At 44.1% G+C, this 21,374-nt stretch overlaps 1 protein-coding gene and 1 pseudogene across 3 annotated transcripts in view, besides 1 other annotated feature; one reads left to right on the forward strand and one right to left on the reverse strand.

Annotated features, from left to right (window-relative positions):
• The window catches only part of PITPNC1 (phosphatidylinositol transfer protein cytoplasmic 1), a 319,976-nt gene that overhangs the window by 67,705 nt on the left and 230,897 nt on the right, over positions 1-21,374 (forward strand). The window lies entirely within an intron of this gene.
• Positions 535-1,093: an enhancer, noted in NCBI's record as "OCT4-NANOG hESC enhancer chr17:65441636-65442194 (GRCh37/hg19 assembly coordinates)". NCBI's record gives its function as "activates a minimal SCP1, AML or CMV promoter by ChIP-STARR-seq in naive H9 embryonic stem cells {active_cell/tissue: H9 hESC(naive)}" and the evidence as "EXISTENCE:reporter gene assay evidence [ECO:0000049][PMID:30033119]".
• Positions 12,038-12,305, reverse strand: RN7SL756P (RNA, 7SL, cytoplasmic 756, pseudogene; annotated as a pseudogene).

Raw genomic sequence — 21,374 nt, forward strand, 5'->3', positions numbered from 1 at the left:
GTACAGATGTTTATATGTCTTGTTTTTTTTAGGGGAAAAGGAGATGGGGAAGTGTGGATGATTTTAGGGAGGTAACAGATGATTTTTAGGGGAATTCAATGAGCTTGAAGAACATACAATGGCTTGGGACAAAGTCTGTTTGGGCAGACAATGGTTTGTGACAAAAATCTTTCCAGGTGTGTTGACCGACTTCAGTGTTTTGCCCTGTGATATGGGTTCAGTTAATGAAAACTCAGGGAGGGAATGGATCAGAGGTGATTGTTTTCTTTTTTGCCAGGTCTAGACGTTAGGCAGATAAGGGAACTCCAGAGAATAACTTTTATTCTGTGTTTTGGGAGGACAGAAATGATGGGAAAGGGAGGAAGATCAGAGATACATTGAGGCTTCTTCCTCAATTCAGCATGTCAAAGCGCCATATTTTGGGATACCGCTTTCTGAGCCCCAACAGTAACTAGGTATTATTTTGAAGGGTTGCATTCACACTTGTGACATGGAGTAAAGGCCAGTGGTAATATTTCTGTAGAGCGCTTTAGTTCTGTCTCTCAATGTACTTTCCTTGTTAACTAATTTCTCCTTTAGTAGCAAAAGGAATTGTGACAGGTGCATTTAAAGAAACTGTTACCTGCACCAACTACCAGGCATTCGTTAGTTGGGGAGAAATGAGAACTCATGTTTTCCATACTCAGCCCTACCCCAAGATGACCTGGCAACTGTACATTTTATCCCACTGGGTTTAATCCTTATTATGAATAACAGAGCGAAACTTTGTTATTCATGGGAGTGGATTTCTCCTGCTGAGAGAATTAGCGGCAATCTCATTCAGGAAGCTGCCTTCTGATGCAATGAGGTCTTTTGAACTGTGCATAAATAGAGGCCATTCTTTAGGCATTTGGAGCATAGGGCTTAAATTGCTCCAGAAGTTCCAATCAGACTCTAGGTATCTTTGGCTGTTTTTTTTGTATTTTTTTTGGTTTTTTTTGAGACAGAATCTCACTCTGTCGCCCAGGCTGGAGTGCAGTGGCACAATCTCGGCTCACTGCAACCTCTGCCTCCCGGGTTCAGGCAATTCTCCTGCCTCAGCCTCCCAAGTAGCTGGGATTACAGGCGTGCGCCACCATGCCCAGCTAATTTTTGTATTTTTGGTACAGACGGGGTTTCACCATGTTGGCCAGGATGGTCTCGATCTCTTGACTTCATGATCCACCCGCCTCGGCCTCCCAAAGTGCTAGGATTACAGGCGTGAGCCACCACACCCAGCCTTCTTTGACTGATTCTTCTCTGTGTGCGCATGTCCTGAGGTCACAAGTGGTAGTGTGCTCCGTATTGGTTTCTTGACCTGCCTCTTCAGGACTTTCTAAAATTAAGGTACAACCGATTCTTTTGCTGCAGTCCTTTCTGCCTAAAGAAGGAAGAAATTCTTCTGTTTTCAGAAAAAAAAAAAGGAAAATAAAAGAATATGCCAGCTTCACCAGGATAACCCACAGACATTGAGCATTAGGAGTATGGTACAAAAATAATTTCTTTCCTCATTAAGGTTTTTTTTTTTTTAATTTATGCTACGAGAAATAGAACAGAGTGAGCCTATTGTTGTCTTGCCATCCCAGAATCTCTTAGGAGGACAAAGAGAGATACTTTAGTGTTTGTAAAGGGAGGGTTGACTATTTGTGCAGGTTTCAAAACTCCTGCACCCCAAGTCCCCAGCAGAATAAGCCTCTCTGGGTCCATTGAATGGTGGGTTTTTGAATGGTGGATCTGGGGCCTTGTATGGCAGATGCACCTGACAGCCATAACCGAAGCACATCCTAAGAATGACCCTAAGGTTGGCCAGGCGTGGTGGCTCACGCCTGTAATCCCAGCACTTTGGGAGGCCGAGGTGGGTGGATTACTTGAGGTCAGGACTTTGAGACCAGCTTGGGCAACATGGTGAAACCCCATCTCTACTAAAAATACAAAAATTAGCCAAGTATGGTGGCGGGCACCTGTAATCGCAGCTACTGGGGAGGCTGAGGCAGGAGAATCGCTTGAACCCAGGAGGTGGAGGTTGCAGTAAGCCAAGATTGTGCCACTGCACTCCAGCCTGGGCCATAGAGTGAGACTCTGTCTCAAAAAAAAAAAAAAAAAAAAAAAAAAAGAATGACCCTAGGATCTAAGAAGAATGTGTGTTTGGACTTCCAAGCTAAGGAATCGGAGAGTGGCCAACCTGGAGATTCACTCCTTATCTATGACAGACATCCGAACCCCTAGCTCGTTCCTTGGAATGCAGGCCACCTAGGGGATGGAGGCCCTTTGCTTTGGGTTAAATGGAGGTTGCTAGGTGGGAGGGTGCTAAGTGAAAAACACAATATAAACTGCATGCTTAGTACAAACAGCAGTGGTTCTCCTGTCCAGCCTGCTGCCCCTGGAATGCCCCTTATGTAAGTCCTCAATAAACCCTGTCTCCCTCACTAGCTCCGGGTCTCTCTCTCTTTTTTAATGGAGTCTCCCAGGCTGGAGTGCAGTGGTACAATTATAGCTGACTACAGGCATGTACCACCACGCCCAGATAATTTTAAAATTTTTTTGTAGAGGCAGGGGTCTCACCATCTTGCCCAGGCTGTTCTCAAACTCCTGGGCCCAAGTGATCCTCCCACCTCAGACTCCCAAAGTGCTGGGATTTCAGGCCTGAGCCACCACGCCCATCCTGGGTCTCTTTTTTGGTGCCTCGGACATGGTGCCATCCCTGCTTGGAGTCAGCAGAGGTCTTACGCGACAGTCCTTGGAATGGTGGAAGCCTGTTTTGTTGTCTTTGATACTATGAAGGGACAAACCCCTGCTTTGAAGGTGTTTATTTCCTGAAATTTTTACCTGGGATCCCAGCTATCTCTTTCTTTCTTTCTTTCTCTCTCTGTCTCTGGGATCCCAGCTATCTCTTTCTTTCTTTCTTTCTCTCTCTGTCTCTCTCTTTCTTTCTCCTTCCTTCCTTCCTTCTTTCTTTCTTTCAGATGGGGTCTTGCTCTGTCGCCCAGGCTGGAGTGCAGTGGTGCGATCTCAGCTTACTGCAACCTCCACCTCCCAGGTTCCAGCGATTCTCCTGCTTCAGCCTCCGGAGTAGCTGGGATTAAAGGCGCACACCACCACACCAGGCTAATGTTGGTATTTTTAGTAGAGACAGGGGTTTCTCCATGCTGGTCAGGCTGGTGTCGAACTTCTGACCTCAGGTGATCCGCCCGCCTTGGCCTCCCAAAGTGCTGGGATTACAGGCATGAGCCACTGCGCCCGGCTGCATGACTTTTCTATAAAGCCTTATTTTAAATGATTTTGGGGGCTTAATTTAGGTGTTTTCATTTGCTTTTGGTCACAGTCTTTATGTGTCACTGAGTGTGTGGATGTGGGGGTTCTTCTACCCAGAGGAAAGTGATTTGATCACCTGGAACCAGGTGCTCTGAGAACTGGGGCAGCTTCCCTGACTTGCAGGAGAGGGTGCAGAGACTTCTTCGCTGGCATGTAGCTGCAGCCTAGAAAACCGCTTGGTGGTCCTCGTTCATGAACCTGCCGTTGGGGGTGCTTCATGCTTTATCTTGGTCTCTACCTTGATTAATCTCACCTCCGTTTCTCCGCTCCACTGGACCATTCTCTAGAACCCCTCTAGAACCACTGGACCATTCTCTTCTGTCAGAGTCCAGTGCTTCCAGTCTTTCCTGTGGGCTCTTATCTTCTGGTGCAAAGTTCTTTCTCACCTTCCACAGTCAAAATCACCATACTTACCTAGGCCATACTTACTAGGCTGGAGAGGCAGGTACATCAATCTTTCTTGTTTATTTGTTTGTTTGTTTGAGATGGGGTCTTGCTCTGTCACCCAGGCTGGAGTGCAGTGGCACGATCTCCTCCGCCTCCCGGGTTCAAGTGGTTCTCCTGCCTCAGCCTCCCCAGTAGCTGGGATAACAGTTGCATGCAACCATGCCTGGCTAATTTTTGTATTTTTAATAGAGACGGGGTTTTGCCATGTTGGCCGAACTGCTCTCGAACTCCTGACCTCAGGCAATCCTCCCGCCTCGGCCTCCCAAAATGCTGGGATTATAGGCATGAGCCAGCATGCTCAGCCAGGTACATTGATCTTCTAAGTATTTATTGTTCTGCTCCTTATTCAGTGCTAACATTTTTATTTTCTTATTCTTTTTCCCTGTCACTTGAAGATCGTCACCCAAGCAATAAATCCATTTGGTTGTACTTATTTAATTTTCTCTGACTTTCTAAGGAGTGACACAGCAAAGTGCCTTATCTTGCATTTCTTTCCTTTTCCGTGTTCTAGTTGGAAAGGCTCAGAGTTTGGGAGAAGTTAAACGTGACTCAGAGAATTGCTTTTGATGGTGGTGCCGATACACACATCTTTTGAAGCTTAGATTGGGTATTGTCAATTTAATTTGGAGTCTATCAGCCTGTAGTGTTCTAATCACCTATTTTGAAGCCTTGCTGACGACCCGAGATTCCTTGTTAAACTGCCACTGGAATAAGCATAACACTTTTCATTAAAGGAAAAAGAAAATGTTACTTAAAGTAATAGGCACACCCTTTTATTTTCTTGACAGATAGCAAAGAAAAAAATCTTCTGTCTTTACCTTGACAAGACATGTACCATTGCTGGGAGGTTTTGCTTGTATGAGAACTTCAACGTTAGAATCTAGACATCTCGGAGAATTGAAACTCAACAAGTTTCTCTGTTTTGGGGTGGAGAAAAAGGACAAAAAGTTGTCATATACAGCTAGCTGTCCAAACAGTCAAATACGAAAGCTAATTTATCTTTTAAAAGGTTAATTCTTTGATGCCTCTATCACAGTTAGTGTTAAAATGAAAGCATTGGAAACAAACTCTTTTTCTGTTAGCTCAGATTTTAAAAAAATTCTTTTTGCAGAGATGGGGGTCTCACTATGTTGCTCAGGCTGGTCTTGAACTCTTGGCCTCAAGCGATCCTTCTGCCTTGGCCTCCCAAAATGTTGGAATTACAGGGGTGAGCCACTGAGCCAGATTTTGAATATTTTAATTACTTAACTGCTTGTCTGTCTGGCAATGAGATAAGCGCAGTAGCCAGTGATTACCAACAGTTAAACAGAAGAACAAGTCACATAAACAACACTTATACTTCCTGTAAACCCAATTAAAACCACATTTCAGGTTTGCTCTTATGATTTAGAAGTAAATTTAGAATCAGTTTCATGAATCTTGCAGTATTTTTCAAATTAATGTCTTTAGGCATTTGGACAATGGGCTGTGTGAATGCAAACTGCGTTTTCTTCAATTGCTATCAATTAGAGACAGTTAAGAACTCAACTGATGAAGAAATAGCCACCTGAAAGTGAGCCCACAGGCAAGTCACAGGCCCCTCTTCCTCCTGAAGGTGCACGGGAGACTTCGTTAAAAAAAAAAAAGCTGTAGTAAAATACGTATAAGATAAAAATTTACCATTTTAAGTTTCTTTTTTTTGAAGACGAAGCCTTGCTCTGTCACCCAGGCTGGAGTGCAGTGGTGTGATCACAATTCACTGCAGCCTCACCCTCTCCGGCTCAAGCGATCCTCCCACCTCAGCCTCTCGAGTAGCTGGGACTACAGGCGCACACCACCGTGCCCACTAATTTGTTGTAGTTTTAGTAGAGACGAGATTTTCGCTGTGTTGCCCAGGCTGGTCTCAAATTCCTGGGCTCAAGTGATCCACCCGCATCAGACTCCCAGAGTGCTGGGAAGGTGTGAGCCACCATGCTCGGCCCATTTTAAGCATTGTAAATTGTACAATTTAGTGGCATTAAGTATTTTCACAATGCTGGGCAACCATCATCACTGTTCACTTTCAGAACTTTTTCATCATTCCAAATAGAAATTCCACCCATTAAACACTAACTCCCCAATGTCCCCTTCCCCCACCCTCTGGTAACCTTTATCCTATGTTCTGCCTCTATGAATTGGCCTATTCTAGGTACCTCATAAAAGTAGAATCAATATTATGTGTTCTTCTGTATCTGGCGTCTTTTTCTTAGCATGTTTTCAAGGTTCAGCTGTAGCCCATATCAGAATCTAATTTCTTTTCCTTTTTTTGAGACAGAGTTTCACTCTTGTCACTCAGGCTGGAGTGCAGTGGCACGATCTTGGCTCACTGCAACTTCCGCCTCCTGGGTTCAAGCAATTCTCCTGCCTCAGCCTCCTGAGTAGCTGGGACTACACGCGCGCGCCATCACACCCAGCTAATATTTGTATTTTTAGTAGAGACGGGGTTTTGCCATGTTGACCAGGCTGGTCTCGATCTCCTGACCTCAGGTGATCCACCCACCTTGGCCTCCCAGACTGCTAAGATTACAGGTGTGAGCCACCGTGCCTGGCTAAAAATTCTTTTTTGCACATGATAAACTCACCTATCTTAAGTGTAAAATGAATAAGTTTCAGTAAAACAACAAAAGCTCTTAAGTTTTAGTAAATCCATACATCTGTGCAGCCATCACCGCAGTCCAGTTTTAGAACTTTCCATTCCCCCCTAAACATCCTCCTTGCCTGTTTGTGGTCAGTTCTTGCTCTTACCCTGATCCCCGGCAACTAGTGATGTGATTTACGTCTCTATAGTTTTGTCTTTTCTAGTAATTTCGTATAAAAATTATACAACATGTAGTCCTTTGAGACTGACCTTTTTTTTTTTTGTTTTGTTTTTTTTTGAGACAGAGTCTCGCTCTGTCGCCCAGGCTGGAGTGCAGTGGCGCGATCTCGGCTCACTGCAATCTCCGCCTCCCGGGTTCATGCCATTCTCCTGCCTCAGCCTCCAGGGTAGCGGGCACTACAGGTGCCCACATCACGCCTGGCTAATTTTTGTATTTTTAGTAGAGATGGAGTTTCACCATGCTAGCCAGGATGGTCTCAATCTCCTGACCTCGTGATCCGCACACCTCGGCCTCCCAAAGTGCTGGGATTACAGGCCTGAGCCACCACGCCTGGCCGAGACTGGCTTCTTTTACTCAACATAAAGTTTTTGAGTTCATTCGTGTTGTTGAATGCATCAGTGGTTGGGTTTTTTTTTTGTTGTTGTTTTTTGAGATAGGGTCTCACTGTGATCACCCAGGCTAGAGTGCAATCACAGTTCACTGCAGCCTCCACCTCCTGGGCTCAAGTGATCCTCCCAACGTCATCCTCCTGAGTAGCTGGGACTACAGGCACATGCCACCACACCTGGCTAATTTTTGTATTTTTGTTTTGTATAGACGGGGGTCTCACTATGTTTCCCAGGCTAGTCTCGAACTCCTGAGCTCAAGCAGTCTGCCTGCCTCAGCCTCCCAAAGTGCTGGGACTACAGGCGGGAGCCATCATGCCTGGCCAATAGCTGGTTCTTGTTTTACTGCTAATAGCATTCCATTATAGGGATGTACCACATTTTGTTTATTCATCACCAGTTGATAGAGATTTGTTTCTAATTCGGGGCTACTGTGAATATTGCTGCTGTGATCATTTGTATACAATTCTTGGATGGACATGTGCTTTCGTTCCTCTTGGGAAGATACTTTAAGGAGTGGAATTGCTGGGGTTTTTTTTTTTTTTTGAGATGGAGTCTCACTCTGTCGCCAGGCTGGAGTCACTGCAACCTCCTCCTCCTGGGTTCAAGTGATTCACCTGCCTCAGCCTCCCAAGTAGCTGGGACTACAGGCGTGCGCCACCACGCCCAGCTAATTTTTGTATTTTTAGTAGAGACAGGGTTTCACCATGTTGGCCAGGATGGTCACGAACTCCTCATGATCCACCCACCTCGGCCTCCCAAAGTGTTGTGATTACAGGCGTGAGCCACTGGGCCTGGCCACTGGGTCTTATATTAAACTTATGTTTAACTTATAAAGAAATTGCCAGGCTGTTTTCCAAAGTAGTTCTTGCATTTTTTTACTCTCACTAGCAACATATGAGCGTTTTGGGTTTGCCACATCCTTGTCAGTACTTGGTATTATCCGTCTTTTGTTTGTAGCGATTCTAATGAGTGTGTGGTGGTATCTCACTGTGGTTTTACTTTGCATTTCCTGTACTCTTTTAAAACTGCTTTCCATTATAGAACATGTTGTGTTGTGCTGTTATATATATAAAGCTTCTGCTCACCTGTGAGCTACTCTGTCTAGCTGATTGATCCAGTATTGTGTCCGGGGGCAGGGTACATGGAAAATGCTTAGGGTTTGTTGAGTGAATGAGCAAACTGATACTTTGTAGGAGTGGCCAATTTTCAAATATTTTAGGTAACAGAAAACAGTGGTGAATCAACTCAAAAGATGAGGTACCAGTCAAATCTCTTCCCTTTTGTCAGTTTCTAAGTAGTATTAAACTTGAGTGAACTAAGTTTTACTTTTTTTTCCTTTGCTTTGCTTACCCCTTGGTGAGAGGTAATGGAGAAAATATAGACAGAGCAGGAGGAGGAAAGAAACTCAATCTCGAAATGACTAAGAGCTTGTGGAGCAGCTTGGGAGAGAACCAGCTGGGTTATTGGCTACTCTGTAGTTCCAGGTGTGGGGAATTATTCTCATCAATACCGTGACCGCCTGCCACTCCCCTCTGCCCTCTTTCTTTGTGTTAATTAGAGCAGGGGTCTGCAAACATTTTCTGTAAAGAGAGTAAACAAATATGTCAGGCTTTGTGGGCCAAGAGAAAACATCAGCGACGTTGTGGAGGTGCTTACATAACGACAGACAAAACAAATTTCCATGAATTTTTATCGATGAAACTCCAAACATAGTAATGGGGTACGATTTTCTGTAACACAAGTCTGCTAATGAGAAGAATTGAATTATTTGAGGGAGGAAAACATTTTGCTTAATTGGAAGTTCAGAGTTAATGTTTCCTATCATCATGGTAGAAATGTGGCCTCATTCTTCTACAAAGCTTCTCTGATATGCAGTGGTCTTCCCTCCTGAGAATTCACCAGAATGTACTGGCTTGATTTGCCCTTGATTTGTTGGGGAACTTTTCACATGGGGGAAGCACATTAAGAGTACAGGCTCGGGCTGGGCGTGGTGGCTCACGTCGGTAATCGCCAGCATTTTGGGAGGCCAAGGCGGGCAGATCGCCTGAGGTCAGGAGTTGGAGACCACCCTGGCCAACATGGTGAAACCCCGTCTCTACTAAAAATACAAAAATTACCTGGGCCTGGTGGCGGGCACCTGTAATCCCAGCTACTTGGGAGGCTGAGGCAGGAGAATCGCTTGAACACGGGAGGCAGAGGTTGCAGTGAGCCAAGATTGTGCCACTGCACTATAGCCTGGGACACAGAGCAAGACTCCGTTCTCAAAAAAAAAAAAACAAAACCCAAAAGAGGACAGGCTCTAGGGTAAGACTCTGGGGTCTGAATTCCAGCTCAACAACTTATTAACTATGTGATCTTTCACTACTTACATAACCCATCTAAAAGCTTTGGTTTCCTGATCTATAAAATGAATAATAGTACCTATTTCACAGAGTTGCTGTATAGATTAAACACAAAGATTTAGAATGACATATTATACTTTTTATTCTTCTTTTGATTTTTTTTCAACCATTTAAAAATGTAAAACCATTCTTAAGTCATGGGCAGTATGAAAACGGGTGGCAGGGCCTGCAGGATATAGTTTGTGGACCCTGCATTGGAGTATGAACTTGAATTATTGCCGTTTACTTTAGAAACGATGATTGCTTTTTTCCTAATTGCAAAGCACCATATGTTCACTGCAGAAAACTTGGAAAACACAAAAAAGCACAATAAAACAAAAGCCATTCAGAATCTCCACCATCCAGAGACGTTTCATGAGTAGTATGTTGCCCCATAGCCTTCCAGACAATTGTGTACATAATACACATATTTCATTATTTTTTATTTTCCTTTTTTTTTTTTTTTTTGAGTCAGGGTCTCACTGTGTCACCCAGGCTGGAGTGCACTGGTGCAATCACAGCTCACTGCAGCCTCCACCTCCAGGGCTCAAGCAATCCTCCCACTTCAGCCCCCTGAGTAGCTGGGACTACAGCTGCATGCCACCAGGCCTGGCTAATTTTTATTATTTTTTGTAGAGATGGGGTCTTGCTATGTTGCCCAGGCTGGTCTTGAACTCCTGAGCTCAAGTGATCCTCCTGCTTTGGCTTTCCAAAGTGCTGGGTTAACAGGTGTGAGCCTCTGTACCCAGCCTACACATATTTCAAAGTAAAACCCAAGCCCATACTATGCATACTGCTTTGTATCTTTTTCACCTATTAATATGCAATGCTTGTCATTAATATTCTTCTATAACCTGAATTTTAATGGCCACATACTATTCTGTTATACTGTGTTAAAATTTACTAAAGCAATTTCCAACAACATTAATGCTGTTTTGAATTTTTCACCATTAGACTGAACTCAGCAATAACCTGGTACATACATGCTTATACACATCTCTTGATTCATTCCTTGGGATAAATTACAAAATTTAATCACTGGGTGACAGGGTATCTACATTTTTATTTATTTATTTATTTTGAGACAGACTCTCGCTCTGGAGTGCAGTGATGCAATCCCGGCTCACTGCAACTTCCGACTCCTGGGTTCAAGCGATTCTCCTGCCTCAGCGCCAGAGTAGCTGAGGTTACAGGTGCGCACCACCATGCCCAGCTAGTTTTTTTTGTTTTTTTTTGTTTTTTTTGTATTTTTAGTAGAGATGGGGTTTCACCATGTTGGCCAGACTGGTCTCGAACTGCTGACCTCAAGTGATCCACCTGCCTCGGCCTTCCAAAATGCTGGGATTACAGACGTGAGCCACCGCTCCCAGCTGGGTATCTACATTTTTAAAGCTTTGGTGTATCTTGCAAAGTTGTCTCCTAGGAAAGTTGTATAGTTAGTCATTCCCAGATGATGTATGGAGCACTGTTGTTTCAATGCCCCTCTTATATTTTTACTTGGTTACTGGGTTTGTGAACTTAAAAAATTAAAACATTCTTATTTTAAAAACAATTCAAATATATAAAACATGTACAGATAATAATGAAACGTACACTTATGTACCCAGCAGAAAGATTAAATCGGTGTTAACATTTTGCTGTATTTGCATTTGTTACTTTTAAAAAACACATTCCAGATTCAAAAACAAGTCTATTATTATCATCCCATTTTACAAGTGAGGAAACTGGCTCAAAAACTTTAAGTAACTTGTCTAATTCTTAAGAACCAGTAAGTGGGCTGTAAAGAACCAGTTGATCCTAATGATGCTTTTACCTTAGGCTTTTACTGATATTAATATAGCCCTTCCAGTCTTCTTCCCCTTTTTGGTCAGTTTCTGTCTGGTACATGTTTTCTAATGTCTCTACTTTTAAGTTTTGTATGTTGTTGTATTTTAGATGGGCCTCTTGTAAATAGCTTATAGCTAAATTAAGAAAAAAATCTCGAGTCTGGGTTTTTAAACCAGCTATTAATAACCTGTTTTTTAACCAGCTATTTCAGTCTGTTTGCATTTATAGCAATTGTTGATGTTTTTTGAATTATTTGTCTTATTTCATGCTTTCTATTTCCCATACTTTTTCTGTTTTTTCTCCATTTCCTGTCTCCTACTGAATTGAGTTTTACCAGGTTTTCTCTTTTTCTCTCTACTAGCTTTGTTATCCTAAAAATATTCAATGTGTATACTTAAATAGCAGTCAGAAATTACCCTATCACCTCCCCCACCCAGTTTTTTTCTTATTTAGTGTTTTAATTTCTCCTTTTTTGGTATTTTATTGTATTTTGTATTTTATTCACTGTTATTTTTGTTGTTTTGTGCAGCCCAAACTGTATATATTTTTATTTACTAGGGTCTTTACTCGTCTTTCTAAGTACTCTTTTATGTACACATTTTATTTTCTGAAAATATATACTTTAGTGCATTTTAGTAAGAGCCTGTGAATGTACTTAGTTCTTGTTTAAAAACAGCTTCTTTGTCCTCATCTTTCAATGACTCTCTTTTAGCTTAGTATAGAATCTCCCCTCAACCCTCTGAAGATAGTATTTCTTTGTCTTCTCAACTTTTCTTTTCCTCATTTGTTTTCTCAACTTCTCAACCCTCTTTTTTCTTATTTATTTGGAAATGGGGTCTCACTATGTTGGCCAGGCTGGAGTGCAGTGGCCACTACTGATCAGCACAGGAGTTTTGACTTGGGCTATCACTTCACCCCTCCTTAGGCAGCCTGGTGGTCCCCTGATCCTGGGAGATCACCATATTGATGCCAAACCTAGTGTGGATACCTGTTTGGAATAGTGCACTACAGCCCAGACCTCCTGAGCTGAAACGATCCTCCCTCCTCAGCCTCTGAAGTTGCTGGGACTATAGTCTCGTGCCGCCAAACCCTGCTCAGCTCTCATTTGTTACTGAGAAGTCTTCTGTCTGATTGCTCTTCCTTTGTAGGTAATCTGCCATATCTCTCTGGCTGTTTTTTGTTTTTTGTTTTTTGTTTTTTGTTTTTTGAGACGGAGTCTCGCTCATTCGGCCCATGCTGGAGTGCAGTGGTGCAATCTTGGCTCACTGCAAGCTCCGCCTCCCAGGTTCAAGCCATTCTTCTGCCTCAGCCTCCCGTGTAGCTGGGACTACAGGCGCCTGCCACCAGGCCCAGCTAATTTTTTTTGTATTTTTAGTAGAGACGGGGTTTCACCGTGTTAGCCAGGATGGTCTTGATCTCCTGACCTCATGATCCGCCCGCCTGGGCCTCCTAAAGTGCTGCGATTACAGGCAGGAGCCACCACGCTGGCTATCTGGCTGTTCTTTAGGCTTCCTCTTTGTCTTTGAAATTCTGGAGCCTCAGTCCTGTGTGCATGGATTCATTTTTATTTATTCTGCTTAGAACTTGGTATTCTTTACACGGAGAATTCATGACTTTTACAATTCTGGTAAGTCCTTAACTATTATCTTTTAAAATGTTGCTTCTCCTTCACTGGGGCAGCCATAAAATCATGCTGCTCGGTTGTCTTGCTGGAGGAAGCATAGTTGACTGAGCCCCAGAGGCCATGTCTCAGATTCACTCACGCTTCTCCTGGGCTGCTCCCAGCTGATGGCAGAATATGACAGGGGTACCAGTGCTGGCCCACTGCTGCAGGAGGTAGGATCCTTTCATGGATGACATTGGCTCCTGGACTCCCCATCAGTGTGACCAAACTTTCTTACATCTGCGTCTCACTCTGAGTCTCTTCCTACCCAGTACTCCTTTCTTCTCTCTCCATCATACCTACACCATGGTCTGAAGGCTCTCCCTGCCTCCTCCTGCTTCCTCCTCTTTTTCCTTCACAGGTGTTTTTCCCAACATCTCGTCTCAGCATCTGCTTCTTGGAGGACCCAAACTAACACCGTATCTCTGTTTTCATCATCTGAATCTTGTATTAGATGCATATGGACCTTCTCATTGTGCTCTCTATGCCCTTAGTTATTCTTTTATGCCTCATTGACCTCTCTAATGCTCTTTGGGTAATTTCCTCAGATCTGTCTTCCATTTTACTGAATTCTCTCTTCATTTCTGTCTAATCTACTATTTAATCTATCTATTGCATTTTAAAATTATAATATTTATTTCTAAAAGTACCATTTGGCTTGTTTTCACATCTGACTCTTACTTTTTTCCCAGTATATTCTTCTCAGGGTTTTAGTTTCTCATTTTTTGTCTTTAACAGTCTAAAGCACACTTACATTGTACTCCCTCTTTCAAATTGTAGTTTTATCATTCCAAGTTCCCTGGAGCTCTAATAATCTTGTTTGTTGTATTTGCTGTTTTCTGCTTATGGTGTATTCTAATTTTTAATTTTCCTCTAAACTAACCTTTAGTGGGGGTTATTTTTTTTCCGTGGGAATCTTACATGGTCTGATAGTGAGGCTCCTTCAGAACAATTAGCATTGCTCAGAACAATTTGCATTGCTTCTTCTAGAGATCTCAGGAGTGTCACTGCCTTGGGGCCAATATTTCTGTTAATTTCTTAGTTTAGAACGGCCTGGATCACCCCGCTTAAGGCTCAGGTTTGGGATATCCATTTTTCAGGGGAGAGGTTTTTTTCACTTAGAACCCAAGAACACAAAATTGTTCTCCTAGACCCCTGTACCAGGGGATGATTTTTCCCCCTAGTCTTTCTTTTCACTGGGAAGTATTTCTTTGAAGATCCTAACTCTCTTTGGGGCTTTTTTTTTTCTTTTTCTTTTTTTTTTTTTTTTTTTTTGAGACTGAGTTTTGCTCTTGTCGCCCAGGCTGGAGTGCAATGGCTTGATCTTGGCTCACTGCATCCTCCGCCTGCCAGGTTCAAGCGATTCTCCTGCCTCAGCCTCCCGAGTAGCTGGGATTACAGGTGTGGGCCACCACATCCAGCTAATTTTGTATTTTTAGTAGAGAAGGGGTTTCACCATGTTGGCCAGGCTGGTCTTGAACTCCTGACCTCAGGTGATCCGCCCCGCCTAGGCCTCCCAAAGTGTTGGGATTACAGGCGTGAGCCACCGTGCCCAGCCTCTTTGGGGTTTTAGTTCCAACTCTCTGCTTCATGGTGACTCATGGTTTCACCTCCTTTGTCCACTTGGGTTTTAAATTGTAAGTCTGGAAGTTACTAGAACAATCCCAGAATTAGCTCACACACTTTCACTCTGTTTTTCCCTTTCTTCCTGGGGTTATATTTTACCCAGCATTCCTAGGTGTTTGTGGTGGGAGATTCCGCCCCTACGTTATCTTAATTTGTTGCCATATTTCTGAACCAGGAATCCCATTTACCACATTGAGTTCTGGACATCAAGGTTCTCCGGGCATCACTTTCTATGCTGTGTCATCAGTGAAGCCCATAAACTTACCCGTTATCAGAAAAGCGAAGATTTCGAGATCTTGTTGAGACGGTAGGTATATAGTATGTCCTGAGGGGTTTAGAAAAAATAGCTACCTTTATTTCCAACCCATGGTAACTTCATTGGTAAATCCAGACAGACCTGTAAGATTTTTACAAATGGAACCAGCAGCTTAGAAAACAAAAAATAATAATTACTTTATCATCACAAGTATTCCTTTTACTGCCTCAGCCCAGTAACAGAGCTCTTCTATCTCTCTCGTTTCTTTCTCCCAGCTTTCCCACCATCCTTCTCAATTTGTCCTTTGTCAACAGGGCAGAAAAGGGGTTGAAGTGATGTATGGGTGTAATCCACTGTGCACTGCTGAAAAGATAAACTTAAATGAAGTGATTTATAACCTGTGGCAGGTATTCTGCACCCAGAATTGTTTGTCAAAGTGAGTGCTCATTGATTTTCCATGCCTTCCGTGTCAGCCCCTGGATTGCCATTGTTCCTTAGAGGTGGCTAAGCAGTTTAAGGCATCAGGGTGTTCTCCCAGCGCGGGCACTCACTCCGCTGCAGGGTTTAGCCTTCAACTGTGTTCCAGGGCTCGGAACTCCCTAGTTGACCCCTTGCTGCAGGAGGCAGGATTCTTTCGTGGATGGCATTAGCTCCCAGACTCCCCATCAGTGTGACCAAAATTTTCTTGTTTTTTTTTTTTGAAACAGAGTCTCACTCTGTCAGCCAGGCTGGAGAGCAGTGGCCCGATCTCAGGTCACTGCAACCTCTGTCTCTCGGGCTCAAGCAATTCTCCTGCCTCAGCCTCCCGAGTAGCTGGGATGTGCCACCACGCCTGGCTAATTTTTGTATTTTTAGTAGAGACAGGGTTTCACCATGTTGGCCAGGCTGGTGTCAAACTCCTGACCTCAGGTGATCCACTCACCTCGGCCTCCCAAAGTGTTGGGATTACAGGCATGAGCCACCGTGCCCGGCCCTTTCTTTTTTCTTTTTCTTTCTTTCTTTTTTTTTTTTTTTTTTTTTTGAGACGGAGCCTGGCTCTGTCACCCAGGCTGGAATGCAGCGGCGCGACGGTGGCTCACTGCAACCTCCACCTCTCAGATTCAAGTGATTCTCCTGCCTCAGCCTCAGTAGCTGGGATTATAGGCGCGCGCCACCATGCCTGGCTAATTTTTATATTTTTAGTAGAGATGAGGTTTCACCATGTTGGCCAGGCTGGTCTTGAACTCCTGACCTCAGGTGATCCACCTGCCTCAGCTCCCAGAGTGCTGGGATTGTACAGGCGTGAGCCACTGCGCCCGGCCAGTGTGACCAAAACTTTCTTACAGCTGTGTTGCACTCTGAGTCTCTTCCTACCCGGTACTCCTTTCTTTTCTCTCCATCATACCTAGGCCATGGTCTGAAGGTTCTCCCTGCCTCCTCCTGCTTCTTCTCTGCTACCATCCACACTCACTGTGTCCATGAAAAGACCAGATTCCACTGGTACTTCAGATTTCTCAAATGAGAAGTAAAACATATTCTATAAGTTTTGAAAATGCTTCTATAAAATGCTTCTGGAATCTTCCTACTGGAAGTCAAATAGATAATAGGTCCCCATAGAATAGCACGGGACAATAGTACAGCTTCGGGGGCGGTGCCCAGGGAAATCTGGGCTGAGTTAGATGAAGGATACTAAGCATCCTATGGGAACTCATGCAGCAGGGAGTCTCCTTCGCTTAAGGGGACCACATACATATCACACAGGATGTGTCTTTCTTGTTTTTCTCCAAACCCATCCCGTTGTGTTGGAGGGTGATGAAGTTTTTCCAGCAACCACAGTGCAGTCTGGTGAATCAGAATCAGTGTCATTGAGCCTCAGCAACACCCAGATATCCAAGAGATTGTCTTAAAGAATCTTAGAACTGTAGGCTGGGTGTGGTGGCTCACACCTGTAATTCCAAAACTTTGGGAGGCCAAGAGGATCGCTTGAGAGCAGGAGTTCAAGAGGATGGCTTGAGGGCAGAAGTCTGAGGCTGCAGTGAGCTGTGACTGCACCATTGCACTCCAGCCTGGGTGACTGAGGGAGACCCTGTCTCTAAACAAAAACAAAAACAAAAAACTTAGATTTTTGGACCTTAGATCATTTAATCTAGAGTTCTAACTCGATAGGCAAGGAATCTGAAGCCTGGACTATTTGATGACTTGCTCAGGGTCACAGAACTATGGAGCTCCACAGCCAGCATTACGACCTGGGTTTCTGGACTTCCTGCTCATCCCTGTTTCTGGAAGGGCTTCTGCTCCAGGTCTCTCTGGGTAATGTCCCATTTGCTTTCACAACATGCCTCTTGAATCTAAAGAAAGCAGTGCTGTTGGTGGTTGTCTTAGTTGCAGTTTATTTGCTTGGTCCTTTGAACAGGAAGAGAGTTATGTTTATTATGGGTTGGGAGGAATGAACTTGCCTACACCTTTTTTTTTTTCTTTTCTTTTCTTTTTCTCTTTCTTTCTTTCTTTTTTTTTTTTTTTTTTTTTTCTGAGACAGGGTCTTGCTCTGTCGTCCAGGCTGGAGTGCGGTGGTGGGATCTCAGCTCACTACAACCTCTGCCTCCTGGGTTCAAGCAATTCTCCTGCTTCAGCCTCCTGAGTAGCCAGGATTATAGGCGCCCACCACCATGTCCAGCTAATTGTTGTATTTTCATTAGAAATGGGGTTTCACTATGTTGGCCAGGCTGGTTTCAAACTCCTGACCTCAGGTGATCCATCCACCTCAGCCTCCCAAAGTGCTAGGAATACAGGCGTGAGCCACCGTGCCTGGCTGCACTTTTTCTTTTTTCTGTTGTGTGCCTAAGACATGGTTATCTAGACAAAAATACCACTTAGTAGGCACTTTACCAATACATATCATGCTAGAAAACAGATTGCTTTCATGCAAATGAGGTGGAGCTAGGAAAGTTATTTATGTAATGATTATTTCACAATTGGAATTTTTTTTTTTTTTTTTTTTTGAGATGGAGTTTCACTCTTGTTGCCCAGGCTGGAGTGCAATGGCGTGATATCGGCTCACCGCAACCTCCGCCTCCTGGGTTCAAGCGATTCTCCTGCCTCAGCCTCCCAAGTAGCTGGGATTACAGGCATGGGCCGCTACGCCCGGCTAATTTTGTATTTTTAGTAGAGGCGGGGTTTCTGCATGTTGGTTAGGTTGGTCTCGAACTCCCGACGTCAGTTGATCCACCCACTTCAGCCTCCCAAAGTGCTAGGATTACAGGCGTGAGCCGCCGCCCCCGGCAACAATTGGAAATTTTTTAAAAACAAAGACTATTTAGCTTGAGCTCAACTAAAGACTTTGGTTTGCATATTATAGACAAATACATAAATTGTGTTTATATAGACTGTGTACATATATAATTATATACTGATGAGATATAGCATTTGTATTTTTCAAACCACAAACATCCTGTAGTAATTCAGACTTATAAATACTTCTGCATAGCAAGTAACAATTTATAATAGCTAAACAGGAATGAATATGGATGGTGTTTCTTTGTGCCTCTGATTGGTGGGTAGGGGGGATTGAAAGCTTGATTTTGATCAGTTTTTTTTTAAACTTATGTGCATTATTGATTAATCACTTAATTGAATTGGTGGGATATATTTTCATACATGCAGTTGTGGCAATATTGATTGAGCTTTCTCTGAGCCCAAACTACCAATTCTTACAAGTGAAACAGGATGTCATCTCCGTGTTGTAATCATTTTATACTTCACATAGTACATTGGAAGTCTGAGGTAGCAAATTCGGCTTCCGGAAGTCCTTGACTTGGGGTCAAAGAGCATCGCTGATATCAGGAGAAGCTGCCTGAATGTGAATTCGGTAGTAAAAATGGAAAGATATTTTATGTGTTTGGCTAGGCGCAGTGCCTCACACCTGTAATCCCAGCACCTTGGGAGGCTGAGGTGGGCAGATAGCTTGAGCTCAGGAGTTTGAGACTGGCGCTGTGGGCAACATGGCAAAAACCTATCTCTACAAAAAAATACAAAAATTAGCTGGGCATGGTGGTGCACACCTGTGGTTCCGGCGGCTACTTGGGAGGCTGAGGTGGGAGGATCGTTTAAGCCCGAAAGGCAGAGCTTGCAGCACCACTGCACTCCAGTGTGAGTGACAGAGTGAGACCCCATTTCAAAAAAGAAAAAAAAAAGAGCCAGGTGTGGTGGCTCATGCCTGTAACCCCAGCACTTTGGGAGGCCAAGGTGGGCAGATCACTTGAGGTCAAGAGTTCGAGACCAGTCTGGCCAACACAGTGAAACCTCATCTGTACTAAAAATACAAAATTGGCCAGGTACAGTGGCTCGTGCCTGTAATCCCAGCTATTCTGGAGGCTGAGGCAGGAGAATCGCTTGAACCCGGGAGGCAGAGGTTGCAGTGAGCAGAGATCACGCCACTGCACTCCAGCCTGGGCGACAGAACGAGACTCCATCTCAATTAAAAAAAAAAAAATGATATTTTCTGTGTTCATCTAAGTAGAGAAATAAGTATAGACTGCCTTATGTTCATTTGCTTCCCAGTGTTCCTTGGTGGCTGGATTATTCATCTAAGTGAGATGTAAGATCTTTTGAGCATCTAACATAATAGTTATTCATAAAGACATTTAGGCTGATGGCTTTCTCAGAACGTCCTGCTGTTCATGATGGACTTCATCTATATTTCAATGAATTTCTAAATGGAGGAAACAGAACATTTTTCCTTTGATTAATTCATTGGTTTTCAGTCCTCAAGGACCCATAGGCTGGCGAACTCTAAGAGGAAGTCACAAAAGGAAGAATGGTAAATTGGAATTGGAACTGTGGAACTCACCCCGTAAAAATCTTTCAACACTGTCCTGAGTTCAACATCTGAAATACAGTGGACCAGGAGAAGATTGATGGAAGCTAATTTAAAAAGCTAATTTAAAATTGCACCAAAAAAAGCACAGCGTTATGAATTTAATAAAGTTCGTAGGGTGTTTTGGACCACGATTTTACAACTCTCTCACTTTTTTTTTTTTTGAGACAGAGTCTCACTCTGTCACCCAGGCTGGAGTGCAGTGGTGCAATCTCCTCTCACCGCAATGTCTGCCTCTCGGGTCCAAGCAATTCTCCTGTCTCAGCCTCCTGAGTAGCTGGGACTACAGGCATGCACCACCAGGCCTGATTGATTTTTGAATTTTATTAGAGATGGGGTTTCACTATGTTGGCCAGGCAGGTCTCAAACTCCTGACCTCAGGTGATCCACCCGCCTTGGTCTCCCAAAGTGCTGGGATTACAGGCGTGAGCCACCACACCCGGCCACAACTCTCACTTTTAATTGACTGTGCCCCAGAATCAAGCACTTTGGCTAGCAAATGATGGCTAGTTAGATCACAGAGGTGTGTGTTGCATTCTGTGTCTGTTCACTGTGAAATCGGGATTTTAAGAGTGTATGTTGTTGAACATACACCTGTCTTTGAGTGATCGGTCCCCAGAGGCCACCTCTAAGGTGAAGATTTGGGGAGGTAATTGTGGGAAGCCCCAGGAGGAGCAGAGGAAAATGAGAAAGGGGACGAAGGGAATGTAATAGAATGTGTGTTGGGAGAGGGTTTCCTTATGAGCCAGTGCAGAGGAAAGTCTTGAAATGCACTAAGGAAATACAGTCTGTGCCGTGATGGTAGCACCGATGTGGAATCCCATAAGCAGCTGCTTGAAAAAGACTTGGTGGCAGACATAACTCTTTTTGCCTTTTAAGTGCTCCGGGAGATTTCACATGCCAATGTTGAATTGTCCCCAACTTGGGTTCAGGGTGCCCAGGAACTAGCAAAATCAGCTTTTTTGTGGTAGGATCTTCATAGGATCCAGGAGCTGTCACCCACGAATGACAGAGCCCCTGCACTGGATAGCCTTTCTCCAATCTGTATAAGGTGGAATAGGGAAATGAGGCTCCTCTCTGATGTTCGGGGCTTTAGCTGGGCTGGGTTCTGAGTCCTCTGTGCCTAGTTCCCCTTGGGAAGCACTGGAGACCTTGAACTGGAAATTCTCTTCCTGGGATCAACCAAATACTCCCAAAACTTCGTGGAAGCTTAGCTCCTTGTGCCTTTTGTCAGGTTTCCCTAGAAGTCAAGGGATTCTCATGGAGATGATGTATGGGATGGGGGCTAGAGGGCTGGGAGGATGGTAGGGCGGGGGTAAATCTAAACTTCAGGTGTCTTGGGAGTCCATGACTTGCATCACAGAGCTGGTTTCCCCCCCGTCAGGCAAGGTCGGCCTTTATTTATTTATTTATTTATTTATTTTAGAGACAGAGTCTCCCTCTGTCACCCAGGCTAGAGTGCAGTGGTGCCATCATAGTTCACTGCAGCCTTGAACTTCTGGGCTCCAGCGATCCCCCTACCTTAGCCTCCTGAGTAGCTGGGACTACAGGCACACGCCCAAATGCATAACTAATTTTTAAAGTTTCTGTAGAGATGGTGGGGTGGGGGGGTGGGGGGGGGCGCGTCTCACGATGTTGTCCAGTCTGGTCTCAAACTCCTGGCCTCAATTGATCCTACTGTCTTGACCTCCCAAAGCACTGGAATTTACAGGTGTGAGCCACTGGGCTGGCCAAAGTCAGCCTTTTGTACCCCTCTCAATGTCAGC

Source organism: Homo sapiens, chromosome 17 (assembly GCF_000001405.40).
Source record: "Homo sapiens chromosome 17, GRCh38.p14 Primary Assembly".
Classification (NCBI taxonomy): Eukaryota; Metazoa; Chordata; class Mammalia; order Primates; family Hominidae; genus Homo; species Homo sapiens.